Source organism: Homo sapiens, chromosome 16 (assembly GCF_000001405.40).
Source record: "Homo sapiens chromosome 16, GRCh38.p14 Primary Assembly".
Classification (NCBI taxonomy): domain Eukaryota; kingdom Metazoa; phylum Chordata; class Mammalia; order Primates; family Hominidae; genus Homo; species Homo sapiens.
In genome coordinates, this window is record NC_000016.10 from 64,882,720 (window position 1) to 64,898,465 (window position 15,746).

Below are 15,746 nucleotides of genomic sequence, written 5' to 3' on the forward strand. Positions count from 1 at the left end.
TCAAATTGATGCTGGTTTTAATCTGGTGGTGAATACATTCCTATGCTTCTTGGTGGGAGGGAGTGAAGATAGTTCACTGACATAACCAAAAAACAGTGACGGTCTCATGCTCTGGTGTGGACACAGCCAAGTCTGTCTGCAATGGAGCCATCAGATAAAGAAAAAAAACATTTAAAATTCTTTAAGGACCATGATTATGTGATTATGTCCATGTGGTTCTACAGCATCTGAAAAGAAAGTGAAAAACATGGTTATTTTTCCAGACATGTTCTCCTTGTTGAGCATATACGTGTTTCCGTATCTTCAGGCATTTGGCAACAAACAGTGAAAAAAAAAAAACAAAAAAACAGGTGATATATTTCATGTTTCCTTTTACATCTACACATTTTTATGGCATATATCAAATGGTATGCCATAGGAATCTATTTCTGGTTTGAATGGATAAACTAGCCCGTGTGAGTTTTGCTATACTCAACAGTCACACAGCTTCCATTAGAAGTGTGACCTTGATAAAATTATTAACCCTCTCTGAGCTTTCATGTGAATGTCAGAGAGGCTGAAATGCTCTCCATTGCTGTCAAGTCTAATGAGGTAGCGTAGGTAAAGTCCTTACTAATATTGGGTGGTTTATATTGGCCATTTCATAACACACGCTATTCTAAGTTCTTTATGTGAATTTGCTCACTCATGTTATCCACAAAACAACTGTATCAGTTAGGAAATATCATTACACAAATGAGGAAACCGAGTTTCAGGGAGGTTAACACATCTGGCCTGTAAGTGACACAGCTGGGATTTGATCTAAGGTAATTTGACTCTGAAATCAATGTTATTAGCAATTATGCAATACTGCTTTTAATACATCAAAATTGATTTGTAAATGGCTACTATCTCATTATTGTTGGTTGCAGAGTTGACCATGTTCTCTTAACAAGCCAGTAACAATCAAAATACACACAAATGTGATCTCTAATGGTGGCCCAAGAGGTTTTAGACTTGTGATTTAAACACATAATGTGCCTCAAGCAAGATTCACCTGGAAATGAGGGGAAATATCCAATAGAAATAGAGAACATGGGCTTTGGAGTCAGTCTATGAGTCTGAAGCCCATTTTGCCACTCAGTTAGCTGAGTGGCCCATGCAGGGGCTTATACTGCTTTTCTGCTTGTCACAGGGAATAATAAACACCACAAACATAACACAGTTGAAGCTCAAGAGATATTACTAATTGTAATGGGAGGATCACAGTAGTGGTTGTAATAGTAGTAAGAAGAGCTATAGTTGCAATTGAAATCATAGTAGTAGTAGAAAAGTAAATGTATTCATTATGTGGGAATTCTATAACAATGCGCCACAGACTATGTGGCTTAAACAATGGAAATTTATTTTATCCAAAAAGTCTGGAAGCTGAATGTCCAACATTAAAGTGTCTGCAGGGTTCATTTATTTTGAGCCCTCTCTTCCTGGTTTATTGATGGCCATCTTCTCCCTGTGTCTGCACATGGTCTTTCCTCTTTGCATATCTATCCTTATTTCCTTTTTTTTTTTTTTAACAAGGACACCAGTCATATTGGTTTAGGGACCACCCTATTGACTTCATTTTAGCTTAATTTCATTTTTAAGACCTTATTTCCAAATAGTAGTAACATTCTGAGGGGCTGGGGGTTAGAACAACATATGAGTTTAGGGGGCGGAAACAGTTCACCTCTTAATATTAGGCCTTCCACATAAGAATTTCCCATGGGTCAGGAATCCTTTAGAATACTTCACGTGGAATTTAGGACAGTCAATTTCAGAAGTAATGACCTGTGCAATGGTTTGAGCAAGGCACTGGACTTGTGGCCTGCCACCAAGAGAGTATCACCTCTTTAGTATGAATGCTAAAAAAATCCATAAGGGATTGGGGTGTGTGTGTGTGTGTGTGTGTGTGTGTGTGTGTGTGTGTTGTGTTGTGTTCATTTTAGAGACAGGATCTCCCTCTGTCACCTAAGCTGGAATGCAGTGGCATGATCACAGCTCACTGCAGCCTCCAACTTCTAGGCTCATGCGATTCTCTTGCCTCAATCTCCTGAGTAGCAGAGACCACAGACCACAGACACACCCCACCATGCCTGGCTAATTTTCTTTTCTTTTCTTTTTCTTTTTTCTTTTTTTTTTTTTTTTTTGTAGACACAGGGTCTCACCATGTTCCCTAGGTTGGTCTTGAACTCCTGGCCTCAAGTGATCCTCCCACCTTGGCCTCCCAAATTGCTGGGATTACAGGCATAAGTCACCATGCCCAGGCAGTGTGTGTTTTAAAAATGGTGGGGATGAGGGGATCCTGGTTTTTTAATGGGTGGAGATGAGGGTTTCCATGAAAGAACAGTCCTGTTCAAAAAACCTATCCTGCATTCCATATGACTTTTTAGAGTCTATCAGGAAGACAGGTAGACTAGAAACTCTTTAAAATCATAGGTACTTAGATTTGCGTTCATTTTAGATATGAACGTGAGGAAATTATTTCATCGTTTGAAAATTTTTGAAATTTCCAGGAATACAACTTCAGTGTAAATTAGGAAACACTAGATTTTTTAAACTTTTGCCAAAAGTTGTTTAGCTTTTGGAAAAATCATAGTTACAGAAATATCCCTATTTATGTTTATGCTTCCATTACAGTACATCTGTTTGTCTATATTTTAGGCAGTCTCATTTTTCATGATTTTTTATATGGATGTAGGTATCTTGCTACTTCATTATATCTTCTTATAATGTCATGTCAGAATTCTTAACTTATGGGAAGTAGTTATCATTTTATTATACTCTATTTTCTTTAATTTCTTTTCTGCATTACAATCAGGGCATTGCATTGATTTTTAAAATTATGGATGTAGATAACTTATATTATCATGGGTTTTATTTCAGGATAATAAAGGAAATGTTTCAAAATACTTGTTGTAAAAGAAGGCATTGAATCAATAGAATTCCCAACAACTACAGTCATCAGTACTCCCGGGATTAGAAAGGCTACATGTGACTAAAGAGTCAAATGTTGGACCAGTGGAATTGAATCCAAGCCATCGAAAGCCAGAAAGGGAAACTGAGTCTAAGAGAAGACAGACAATTTGCGAAGGTTACAGAGCCAGAATCATAAGTCAGACTGCATTGTAGAAATATATACCATATTAGAAACTTAAGTCCAGACAAGCTTTCCCCACACTGGCTTTCACAGGGATGCAATCCAAACCATGGACAAAAACAGAAGGAGCTTTGGGTTTGTGGAGGGAAAGCAGAGTTTACATGCAAAGTTTGAACACTGTAATATGTCTCTTCTATTAGTTTCCTTCTGGGGGATAGTGGTTTTGTTTGTTCATAGTCCTAAATTAATTTTTCAAGTTTGTTCTTTCAGTTTAGAGTCTACAAAGGAAGAAGATGAAACACAATAATTAGCTTGTTGCCCTGCAATTATTAAAAGGCTACAGTGGCAGTCTCCACAGGAATCTCCCCCTTGGGTAACATTCTTGGAAGAAAATCTTACCTTATACTTAGCTTTGCATTCACTTATTTCATGGAAAGTTACATGCCTCTCCAAAAACATCCCTCCCTTAGTTTTAAATGTATGAACTGTGTCTCTTAGCTTCACAACAATCACCATGATTCAGATAAATATCTTGGTAAATTAAAGCCATTGACTGGCAAAACAAATGCCAACAAAATCTGCAATGATCCTTGCACACATCAGTGGCAAAATCTAGAGTCCTTAGAATAACATTTGCATTTTTCCCTGTGATATTATTTCTCCATTTGGAAATCAGCTTCGTCTCCCATCCTCTCTCCTCCAAACAGTGCCCAGTTCAGCCACACAAACTGCAGGCTATCCATTTCTTAGCATGTCTTGTTATCCAAATGATTTCCAGCATTTGGTTGTTCTAGTCAACTTGGTGAATGTACACTCAATATTGAAGACCCAGCTCAAGTGAGAAGCATTTCTGTTTCATCAGCTTTGACCTCTTTTCCTCATGTTCCAGTGTTTTTCTCACCATAAAACTTGTCAACTTAGAGTGTCATTATTAGTGACCCCATTTCTGGGGATCCCCATCCAATCAGACAATGAGTTCTTAAAAAAAATACCTTTTATTATTTATCATGTATTCCCAGAGACTAATATGGCGCCTGGGACATTGCTGCTTAGTAATGTTCAATGAGAAGAAAAGCTGAGGAGTACAGAGTAGAGAGAATTTGGTCTCCTTCTATTTCAACAGTGGTTGAAGTATTTTCTTATTTTAGTTGCCCCCTTTCAGGTTGAGCCTCCTTATCCTTCCATAGCCAAGAGCCCACATCTTATTAAATACACCATAAATGAGTTGACATCTCTCTATTTACTTATATGTAATTTCAGGCATGATTTCACACTGATGAAATCATGTGATCTCTCTTTCTCTCTCTTATGAATTCAGCACTAAGAGTGAAAGGAGAGAAGTGAAGAACTGAGAAAAATTAATCAGAATTGCTTGTAGAATCTTAAAAAGGGGCTTTGAGTGAAAGTAGTTTCCTCAAAATTATAAGCTGGTAAATCAACCCTGTTGGAAGTAGAGATCTTTGAATCTTTGGCAGAAGCCTGAGATAGAAGCCTTCTGGTGAGGCCATCGGTGTGTTACCGATGGCTACGGTGGGGGAGTGGTCAGCCGTCTTCCTGCTGAACTTACCAAAGCATCTGGGGTAGCTAAGGAGACACCCCCTCCTCAAGCACAGGTCACAAGACAAGGACATGATGCAAACTTTCTAGAAAGTAACTTCTGAGTGTATAGAAAATTTTGTTAATAAAGATGTAGAGATGTTCATTCTAGAATTATTGAAATTGGGAAACTAATGAAGAAACTAAATATGTAATAATAGAGATAAACAAATAAATTATAGGACATCTACATGATGAAATACTGTGGAAATACTAAATACTGCATTTATTAATTCAAAATAATACTACTAATAATTACCAAAAACAAAAGCCACAGCTAGACAAGTTTTGAAGAGGAACAGTTTTATCCTTTTACCATGCTTATGTTGTAGTTACTATCATCCCTATTTTACAGACAGGGAATCTAGGCTAAAAGAACAAGTAAAGTCTTGTTTACATCACATCACTGCTAATAAAAGCTGGGACTTCAAGTCAGATGTGCCAAACTTAAAAGTTCATGTTCTTTCCAGTATATATAATAGCTTATGAATACTTTTAGGGACATAAGAAAATGCTCAGGCTAGAGTGTTACATAACAAAGGTGAAAATAGATGCATGCATTGTATCAAGACCTTGAAGGGAAAATAGAAAAAGATGGAAGAGGAAGAGGAATTGGAGCAGGAGAAGAAGAAGGAAAAAAATGAAGTTGTGATTTGATTATATGCATCTTTTTCTTGTCCTTATGTTTTTCTTTTATTCTTTCTTTCTTTCTTTTTTTTTTTTCTTTTTTGAGACGGAGTCTTGCTTTGTCACTCAGGCTGGAGTGCAGTGGCGCAATCTCAGCTCACTGCAACCTCCGCTTCCCGGGTTCAAATGATTCTCCTGTCTCAGCTTCTGGGGTGACTGGGATTACAGGCGTGTGCCACCACCTGTGGCTAATTTCTGTATTTTTAGTAGAGATGGGGTTTCACCATGTTGGCCAGGCTTGTCTCAAACTCCTGACCTCAGGTGATCCACCCTCCTTGGCCTCCCTAAGTGCTGGGAATTACAGGCGAAAGCCACTGTGCCCGACCTTCCTTTTGTTTTTCTACAATGAGCATACATTACTTACATAACACAGATATTGAAATAATATAGGAAAAGAGAATATTCTAGTTTTATTACAGGTACAAAATTTGAAGGAATCTATCTTTCGTTTCCAGGAGAACCCTGGTACACCTATTAAGCAAAACTAGGCAAGAAGCCTTCTTCTCAGAAAGAAACTTTAATATTGCCTTTTTCCCCCCAGCATGTCTTGCTGCATTTATAACATTATTGGACAAAATAAAACAGAGTGGTGGGTCAGAAGGATTGGGTGGACAATGTGACAAATAATTGAATCTGGTTGAAGAGAGTTGCAACAAAGAAAACACATTTGGTATGGTGATTAGAAAGGTATTGGCAGCACCTGCCAAAGTCAGTGGGCTATCAGGGGCCAGAGCCAGACCACAGGGTGTGAAATGAGACAGAGAAACGGGGAAAATGTCAGCAGGCACATGCCGCTTTCAATAAATGGTAGAGTAATAGCATGTCAATTAAAGTGTGCCCAAGTTTATATGAAGGTTGTCCATTGCAATTAAACAATCATTTCAAGTTTCTCAACTGCAAATATTCATACACATTTGACTGGTGGTAGAAATTGGTGTCAGTGGGTTCTAAGGAAAGGGCTAAGACTGAACCATTTTGGATTGTCATCTTAATACCCTGCTAATTTCTAGATAGAGTTGAGTTTTTTTTTTTCTTTTTTTTCTTTTTTCTTTTTTTAGTTGTTCAATGGCTTTATCTTAAAAATGGGGCTGTCAGTGCCACACAGGAGATGTGGTATGGATTAACTACTGATCTGAATACTTGTGAACTAAATAATCTTGCTCCAGGTAGCTTTCTAAGAAAATAATACTACAAGAAAAGCAATTGCAATTAGCTCAGCCTGCCCTTGGAGAATTTAATGAAGAGAAGAAACCTGGGGAGAAAATAGCACTTTTTAGAGAAAACTTGGCTATCTCATTTCTGCTGGCCTCCCCATCCTTACTTGTCTAAGCTGGATCCATTTTTCTCCTGCACCCAGCAAAGCTTGCCAGTCTGCTTTTTTTCTTTTTACCTTAAGTGGCAGCCTCCAGTTTAACTTATTGGTGTTCTCAAGTGAGACTTCAACAGAACTGAGCCATTTAAGGGTTTGCCCTCATCTCATTATAAATTAGTTTTGAATATCTCTCAGTATGCACAACATTCCTCAGCTATCCAAGTTAGAACTCCTTATTAGGCTAGGAAGAATTTGCGTTTTAATGAGTTTTACCTCTGGTGTATGAAGCCCACTGAGATTACTACACTTAGTAAAATTTAATTAACTTGACAAAAGATCCTAATTGTTTTCGTGCCACTGGTCCTTTGCAAGGCTAAAAATAATGCCCTCCAAATTAAGTGGACACCACAAAGCTTCATTTTCACTGTCCTATTTTTTTTTTAAATTGTAATTCACATGAAGTTTTTATTTTTCAGACATTGGTGCAGTCTGTTGCTAAGGCAGAGATTTACGAACCCTTGAAGAAAGGATATCTGGGGGTGAGAATGAGTGGGAAGGGAGCAGGGAATAGACACCTCCTCTCACCTTCATTCTTGTGGAACGCTTTGTGGAAATGAGATGAAGAACATATTGATTTGTTCAATTCCGCACAGACTCAAGCAGACATAATATATCATGTGAATTAATAATGAAAGTTTATAAGTAAAAAATGCTGAATGAATGAACACCCATCCATTCATTCATTCATGTATCATCTATTTACTCTTTTAATGTGCATTTCTGGAAGATTGTTTTATTGTGTCAAGTGCTCACAATGGAAATACTCAATCTTTAAAAGCTTCAGTCCTTTGCAATGTCAATCCCAATGTATAGCTTTCCTTTCCCCTGCTCATTCTGGCTGACATTATATAGCCTTCAAGACCAGCACATTTCTTATTCATTCTTTTGTGATTCTAAACTCCTTTGTCTTCCTATTCCAATAATTCTAACTGCATTGGAAAAAAGTATCTTGACATAGTGTGTTGCGGCTGCTGATGGCTTTCATTGGTTTGTTTGTGGTGCTGTAGCAAAAACAGGTTTTCACCTTGACACTGACCTTATACAAGGAAATCTTCTTTGTGTTTCAATCTCTTCTTTAAATTAAAAAAATATGTAATCGCCTCTCTCTAGTGGAAGTTGCTGAAGGATTGAATGAGACAGTAAAATTAAGCAATGGAGGGAGTCTGACATGGAGTTGATACTCAGAACTCTATTATGTGTATCGCTTCTAAGAGTCACATCACTTCCCTCCACCTTGAGTCTATCAAGCCTAATTCTGTTACCTCCTTCCCTGAGCCACCACATAATTTGAAAATGCACAAGTCTATCAATCACTAAACCCAGCTGACTTATGGCATATTTTTTGACTCAAGGATATCATTGCAATCATTATTATTCCTTGTGTTATGAACATAAGACTAGGCATCCAGCAGAAGCTGTTATCTATTATTTGGATTTTTTTTTTTTAAGGCTGATAATGAGGATAGGCTGCAACATTTCGAAAGGTCCCACTTCCACTTAATTACAGAACTGGGCCACTCTACTTCATGGTGGAATATTGTAGATACGCCTAGAGCCTTACTTTATTTTCTCTCTGTCTATTCTTTTACCCCCATTAATTAAGGAAGACTCTGCAAAAGTTGTTTTTCACTCCACTGCTCACCGTTGTGAACTGCGGAGAAGAGTCTTTCCCCCATTTCTAAAATGGTCTAGTAGTCTCCTTCTCATGTCCTATTTTGTCATGTTTCCCCATTCCAGACATTTCACTAGGAACCTGCCCCTCCTCCACATAATGTGGTTCTACACAGGCTGTGAATCACAGTGTTCTGTCCCACTAAGGGTGGGCAAGTGATCCAGGTCAGGTCACTCAGGGTACGCCACCCCTCTGGCCACAGTGACTGCACAATGATGAGTCTGTCACCAACCTAGACTAGATACCTTCTCTGGATTGTGTGTAGGCTAAGTAAGTTTTCTATCTATTTCATGCTCAGAGAGTTAAGCTAATGGAAGCCTAGAGCTGGATATGCCTGTGCCTCTTTCTGCTAGCTACATGGAGGATGCCTCACTATAGGAAGACAGGCCAAGGACAACCTATTGAGAGAAGCAGAACTAAGACATGGGAAAGGGAAAGAAAGGAGAAGGAAGAGGGAAGTAGATGGAAAGAGAGGGACATGATATTCTTGAAGTCAATGTAGACATTTGGTTCCAAACTCAGGCTTTCTAATTATGTGAAAAAGTAAATACCTGTTTCCCACTTGGATTAGTTAAAAACAGATTTCTTCTTGCCTTCTTTCAAATTCTTGACATCTGTTCAGTAATAGCATGCCCAGCTCCAAGGATCAGGGCTACTATCAGTGTGCAGTTTTGAGAGACTATAGGTGAAAAAAACGTGAGGGTCCATGAATGGTGCTGGCCTTCACCCCTGCCTCCAGTCCACATACATCCTTAGCATACCAGGAAGGACATTGTTTCAGGAGTCCAGTGCGTACTCACTGATGAATTCTGATGAGGTCAGCCACAGAGGATCTCAGCACCTTTTAGCTCTGAGATCTTTACTAATTCAAAGGACAGCCAGAAACAACTGAACCTTTTCCAAGCCAGCGGACCCCACAAGTCAGATTCACAGCTCAGAAATGGGCTTCTTTCTCCAGAGGTGGGTAGGCCTTCTTGGCAATTTCCCCTCCACAATCTGAGAATGAATTTTGAGCCATTTTTTAAATGGAATGAAGTAATATTTGTTATTCAAATACCACATATTTCTAAGGCCAATCATTATCATCATGTGAAATGTGACAAGCATGTATTTTAGCACTGGGGGGAGAAATATGTATGTGATTGATCCCTATATCCATATCCATATCCATATTCATATTCATATTTATATCATCTCCCCTTTTTGTTCTAAACTTTGGGGATCATCTCTACAATACTTACATTATTGCAGAAAATTAATCATCCACAAGCCTTGTTTAATTTGTCCACAGATACTCTCATTCAACACACCATTAATGTTCACCAACTATGTGCTGACACAGGTGCCACGAAAACAAGGATCCGTGAGAAACAGTGCTCACACTTATAGTGTGCATAACATGTTCACTACTTCATAGTCACTCTATCAGTTTATATTGTTTTTCTGTCCTCAAAACCCTCTGTTTCCTGGTGTACATTGTTCCAATCCTATATAAACTTCACTATCTATGACATCATCTCTGATATACCTACTGTGGAACTGGTGTTTTCTTTTTTCTTCTAAACTCTTATAGCCTATTAGCTATATCTCTCTTTTGAAATATAATACTTTTGGTCATTTGGTAGTTATTTATGTTCATGTCATCTCTGCAAATCAGAGGTTCTACCATATACATATATACATATGTGCATAATGTACATAATGTGTACGTTTGTGTATGCACATCCTGTAGTACCTATTATAGACACTGTGCTTAGTACTGAGTATGACACACTGTTGGTGTTTAAAAAAATTAAAAAGGTTTTTAATGACTGTGTAAATAACTGACTCAAATTCCCCTGGAGCGTGGGATCCTTTCCAGTAAGAATTGTGCATTAGAGACAGTGATTGTCTGAGATTGTTGCATTTCCCAACAAAAATGCTGAGGTCTGTTTATACTGGATAGAATGAATTGCTTCCTTGTGACTCAAGCATCTGTTTGAGAGGTTACATTACAAGTTCCTGTAATGACCACCACAAAAGATGGTATTGATCTCTGAAACTGGCAGATACATGTCCTATGGATGGAATATTCATTTATGAAAATTGGAAGAATCGATAGCTCAAAGGTCATCAAGAATGATGACACACTGTAATTTCGATATATGGCCTGACACAAGTTAATGAAAAGGGAAAGGGCTCATTTGTCACATCTGGGTGATAAATCTTCTGTGTGCCTCTTTATTGAACATAAAGCCATGCAAGCTGTCAGCAACTGTGATCTGGGCATCCTAATCTGAGAAATGGAGTAAGGTTTATTTTATTTATCCAACGGACTATTCAAAGGGAAAGAAGTGAAAGTAGCATTTGTTAAAAGCATAAAGTGCGTGCTAAACATGACAAAACACACTTTACAGCTATTACTAAATCTAATAGTCACAATAGCCTCATGGGACAAACAATGTCATTTCTGCTTTGCAGACGGGAAACCGGAAGTCTGAAGGGTGGGTGCGGGGACAGGGCTTAGCACGGTCCTATCCATGTAAGAAGAAAGCTCATAGTCTTGCCTCTCACTAAGTCCAATGGAGTGAAGACAGCTTAGAAAAGGAAATGTCGCATGCACTGAGCTCCAGAAAGATCACCCTGATCCCCAAATGGATCTCCCACTTTCCTTCTGGCTGACATTCAGGCAACTCATTTCTCAGCCTCGGTTCCCTCATCTATAATGTGGGAATAATAAGATGTATTCGAGAGGTGTTTAAACACTGCAAGATTCTTGAAGCTTCTGCACATCACTCTTTCAAATGTCAGAGCGTTTTACTTACACCTTCAGAGAGGGGTATATTTTTACTGTGAAGATTAGGAGAATGCCACATATTAGAGGGTGGCTCTTTTATTTTTTAATTTGTTATTCATCTGTCTAATTCATTTATGATCCAGTCCATTAACTTTAACACTAGCACTGGGAATATAACCCTTTCTCTATCACATGGAAAGAAGAGAATTCACTTTAAATTCTCAGTTCCCTAAAAAAGCCATACTTAAAGCCTCCTGTTCATCTACTCACTATGAAATATATAGACATTCAACAGAAAATCTCTCCCCAATATTTTCTGACTTGTCCTAGAGGAAGAAGAGCAGAGTAGAGAAATGATTAGCCTCAAACAGATCTACAACCGAATCCCAGATCCTCCTATAAAAGTGATGTAAACTGAAATTACCAAGTTAATTTACCTTTGTAAGGCTCAGTCTATTCATCTGTAAAATGGAAATATTATCTAGTTTACAGTTTCATTCTAAGTATTCAAAGGGATGATGTATGTAAAATTCCTGCTCTGTAGCACACAGCAATCACACAAAAAGTGGTTCTTTGATAATTTTCACTGGCTCTCAGTGTCAGTATGTCTGAGTGCACATGAGAAAAATATCTGTCTGATGCATCTTTGGTAGACATCCATAAGTTTGGGTTCCTTACAGACACTGACTGTCTAAATTGATTACACTGAAACAGCAGATCAGAAGAATAATTTATGCAGCTGACTGACACACACCATTTGTGTAGGAGGGAGATTTTCTATGGGTGCTTTTATGGGTGTATTAGTCTGCTTTCACACTGCTATAGAGAACTACCTGAGACTGGGTAATTTATGAAGAAAAGAGATTTAACTAACTCACGCTTTTGCAGGCTTAACGGGAAAACAACTGGAAAGCCTCAGGTAACTTACAGTCATGGTGGAAGGTGAAGGGGAAGCAAGCATGTCTTACCATGATGACTGGAGGGTGGTGGATGGCGAGGGGGACCGCCACACACTTTTAAACTGTCCAATCTCCTGAAAACTCTCTCACTATCATGAGAACAGTGGGAGGGGGGTCTGCCCCCATGATTCAGTTACCTCCCACCAGGCCCCTCCCCTGACATGTGGGGATTACAATTTGAGATGAGATTTGGGTGGGTACACAGAGCCAAACCATATCACTGGGCATTGGGAAATTTAAATAAAGAACAGAGGATGAGAGGTGAGGAGTCACATAAGAAAAAATTGCATTGCAAATCATTCCAGTCTTCTTGTGAAAACTGTTCTTCCCAGCCTCCACCCACCCCGCCCGAAGATGGAGCCTCACTCCGTCGCCCAGGCGGCTGGAGTGCAGTGGCACAATCTCAGCTCACTGCAGCCTCCGCCTCCCAGGTTAAAGCAATTCTCTTGCCTCAGCCTCCGAAGTAGCTGGGATTACAGGTGCATGCCACCACACTCAGCCAAGTTTTTGTATTTTTAGTAGAGACAGGGTTTCACCATGTTGGCCAGGCTGGTCTTGAACTCCCGACTTCCTGATTCGCTCGCCTCGGCCTCCCAATGTGCTGGAATTACAGTCGTGAGCCACCTTGCCTGGCCATGAAAACTATTCGTTACCTGACAGTTCTCCAGCACTCTTTTCTTTGGTGAAAAGGGGACTTCTTCATTCCATTTAGCTGTCACTAACCAAGGTTATTGAAGGACTTGCCTTTTTCATAATAATTTTGAAGATGCAATTGCTGATGATAAAAATCTTTTCATTTGTTGTTTTTATTGTCAGGAGACACAAATGAGTGTTTTAGAGCCATTAGCTCACAATTCCTCAATGGAAGGTATTGTTTTTATAAGTATTTTGTAGAAAAGAAAATTGAGTCTCGGCTTCCTCAAATTGCTCATTGTCACATGGCTGGTTAGCAGCAAAGCTAGGAACAAACTCAACTTTGTCTTAAACCTGTAACATTGGACGTTCTGACAAACTGAATTGAGAATAATCAACCTTAAAAATGAATGAAGGGAGAATGATAACATTGATGATATCCTCAGTTTGAGCTTCCATGGCCAAAAGCTTCCTTTGAGATTATTTCACAGAATCCTGAAGAAGGGGAATGATATTAGGTCTGATTAAAATTTGGGGTGGGGGAGGAAGGAAATGCTGCTCAGAGAAGCCAGGCAACTTGCCAAGGTCACACAGCTTTTCATAGGCAGAACTGGAGGATTTCATAAGATGCTACATTCATGTTTGCAGAAAGATAGCCTATGCTTAATTCTTATGTCCTCAGGAGAAACATCTGTCTTACTATAATTAGTCTACATCAAGGTCAGCAGCACCATAAAGAGTGTCATATGTAAAAGAGAAACTAAGTCTGGTAGAGAAGGAACTTTTCAAGTGTTAAAAGGAATATGAGAAATGAAAGAAAACATCTGTTCCTCTGTCTAAGCTAACTAAGGCCATGCTGACTTGAAGAGCAGGAGACCGTACCTGCACCCTGATGAGGATACAGAGGAAGACTTCAGTAAGAACCTAATAAATATATGAAACTTAAATTAATAAATGGGCAAACAAATGACTACATTTAAGAAACAGTTTCAGGATGGCACAGTGTCATGGCAGGTGTTCCATTATAGGTGGCTTCAGAGCACAAGAGGTGGCTTCTCCCCTTGCAAGGGGAGGCCAATAGGAAGCCAGCAGCATCTGATTCTGGATCCTAGACAGAGGTGCAGAAATGCATGCCTCCCATACCAGGGCCCTTCAGATTTAGGCAAGGGAATCCAAACTCCCTCTCCAATATTGTTTTGATGGCACAAGCAAATTGTCTGGGGCTGCAAAACGATAAAAATGTAGACAAGAAGAAAGTAGCTGGAAGAAGCATTGGAGGAAGAGGTGAAGAAGGAATTAACACATGCTGAGTCCTCACTTTGTGCCAACCCTATACCAAGCATATTGCATCATTATAGGGTAAATTTGTCCAAATATCATGAAGCAGAGTCTATGTTTTTACAAATGAGGTTACCATAGCACAGAGAGGGTAAGATTTTCCCAGAGCACAGGAAGGGGAATATGGAAGCCCAGGCTCTCTGACAGCAAGAATATGCTCCTTGGGGCTGCAGATTTCTGCTCAGGGCTGGGATGCCATAGCACTCCATGCCTTGGCCCCAGCAGACTGCATTTATTTTTAATTTCTTTAGGATCTGGGAAGAGTCTGGAAGCAATAACCAGACACATTCTATTTTGCTGACAAAATGGACTTCGGTGTGGGATATAGCCTGAGGCCCTAGAGTATGCATTTCTAGCTAGAGAACTGGGAAGGAGGTGGTGTAGTTAGAGGCTAACGCTGTCAGTGCTGAGACTTTAAGGAGGAATGGGTGATCAGGTGTCTTTATCAAGCTCGTAAAGCCACTAGTGCCTCCCAGGGCCTCTGCTGAAGAGTCACCCTGGGAGCACAGCAAACAACAAAAAAGGCCTTCTCCTCTATTCTACTCTGTTATCTCTGGATCCTCCACCACCTTTGACCTCTCTGGCCACACTAGGAAGTCCCACTGCAATAACGAGTGATGAAGGTTATTGTCCATCCCCCCTTCCCGTCTTTGCCCTCTGTTACCCCTCCTGCATTTTTACTAAAATATTGTATGTCACAGAATTTTTCTTAAGTAATAAATTTATGGCAGCAAAATTGGAATAGCCTTTGAAGCACATTTCTTGAGATGAACATTAGGTTGATGTATTATAACATTTAAAGCAGGAATCCTGCACACAAAGAACTCATTGGGACCTGAAATGATTAGATACATAGGGAAAGGGACACTAATGGGAAAGGCAGGATTCTCTCCGACCTTTGCTTCCCACAGTCAATACTAATCTTGTTCACTTTCAGTGACAACTACAGCTCCTGCCTAATGAAAATGTTCTCATCATTAGCTGGGCATGGTGGTGTGTGCCTGTAGTCCCAGCTACTCGGGAGGCTGAGGCAGGAGAATCGCTTGAACCCAGGAGGCGGAGGTTGCAGTGAGCCAAGATCGCGCCACTGCACTCCAGCCTGGCGAGTCTCCATCTCAAAAAAATAAAGGAAAAAAAAAAAAAAAGAAAGAAAAAAGAAAGAAAGAAAATGTTTTCACCATGAGCTTCTGTCAGAAGAGTGCACCAGAATAACGCACATGCCCACATCTGGACGCATACTGGGGTGTATCGGCAAAGCTGAAAGAAGAACAAACTTTCATAATGACAAGTGCTTCCTTTCTACAAAGGGATGTTAGCTGTTCCCATTTTTGCATTTATCTCAAGGGTGGAATAAATCACCGGCTAGTTGTTATGAAAAATATGATTCTATTTGTCCCTGATGTAATTGTGTGGGGGCAGCTTCAGAGGCATGTTTTTAAATTGGCCTCTTAATTTATTTTAATGCATCAGTTAGACATGGGGAGGGAGTGGGCAAGATTGCCACACTTTTTGGAGCTCGTACACAGTGTATTGGTTGACTTCAAAATGAAGGTGGCCCTTTTGAGCCAAGTATGATTTCTTAATTCCATGCTATTGCA

General features: G+C 39.5%; 1 long non-coding RNA gene across 2 annotated transcripts in view; it reads right to left on the reverse strand.

Annotated features, from left to right (window-relative positions):
• The window catches only part of LOC124903779 (uncharacterized), a 27,818-nt gene continuing 12,072 nt past the window's right edge, over positions 1-15,746 (reverse strand). For both annotated transcript variants that reach the window (XR_007065223.1, XR_007065222.1), the window contains exon 2: positions 1-227. This is a non-coding gene — a long non-coding RNA (uncharacterized LOC124903779). The remainder of the gene's footprint in view (positions 228-15,746) is intronic.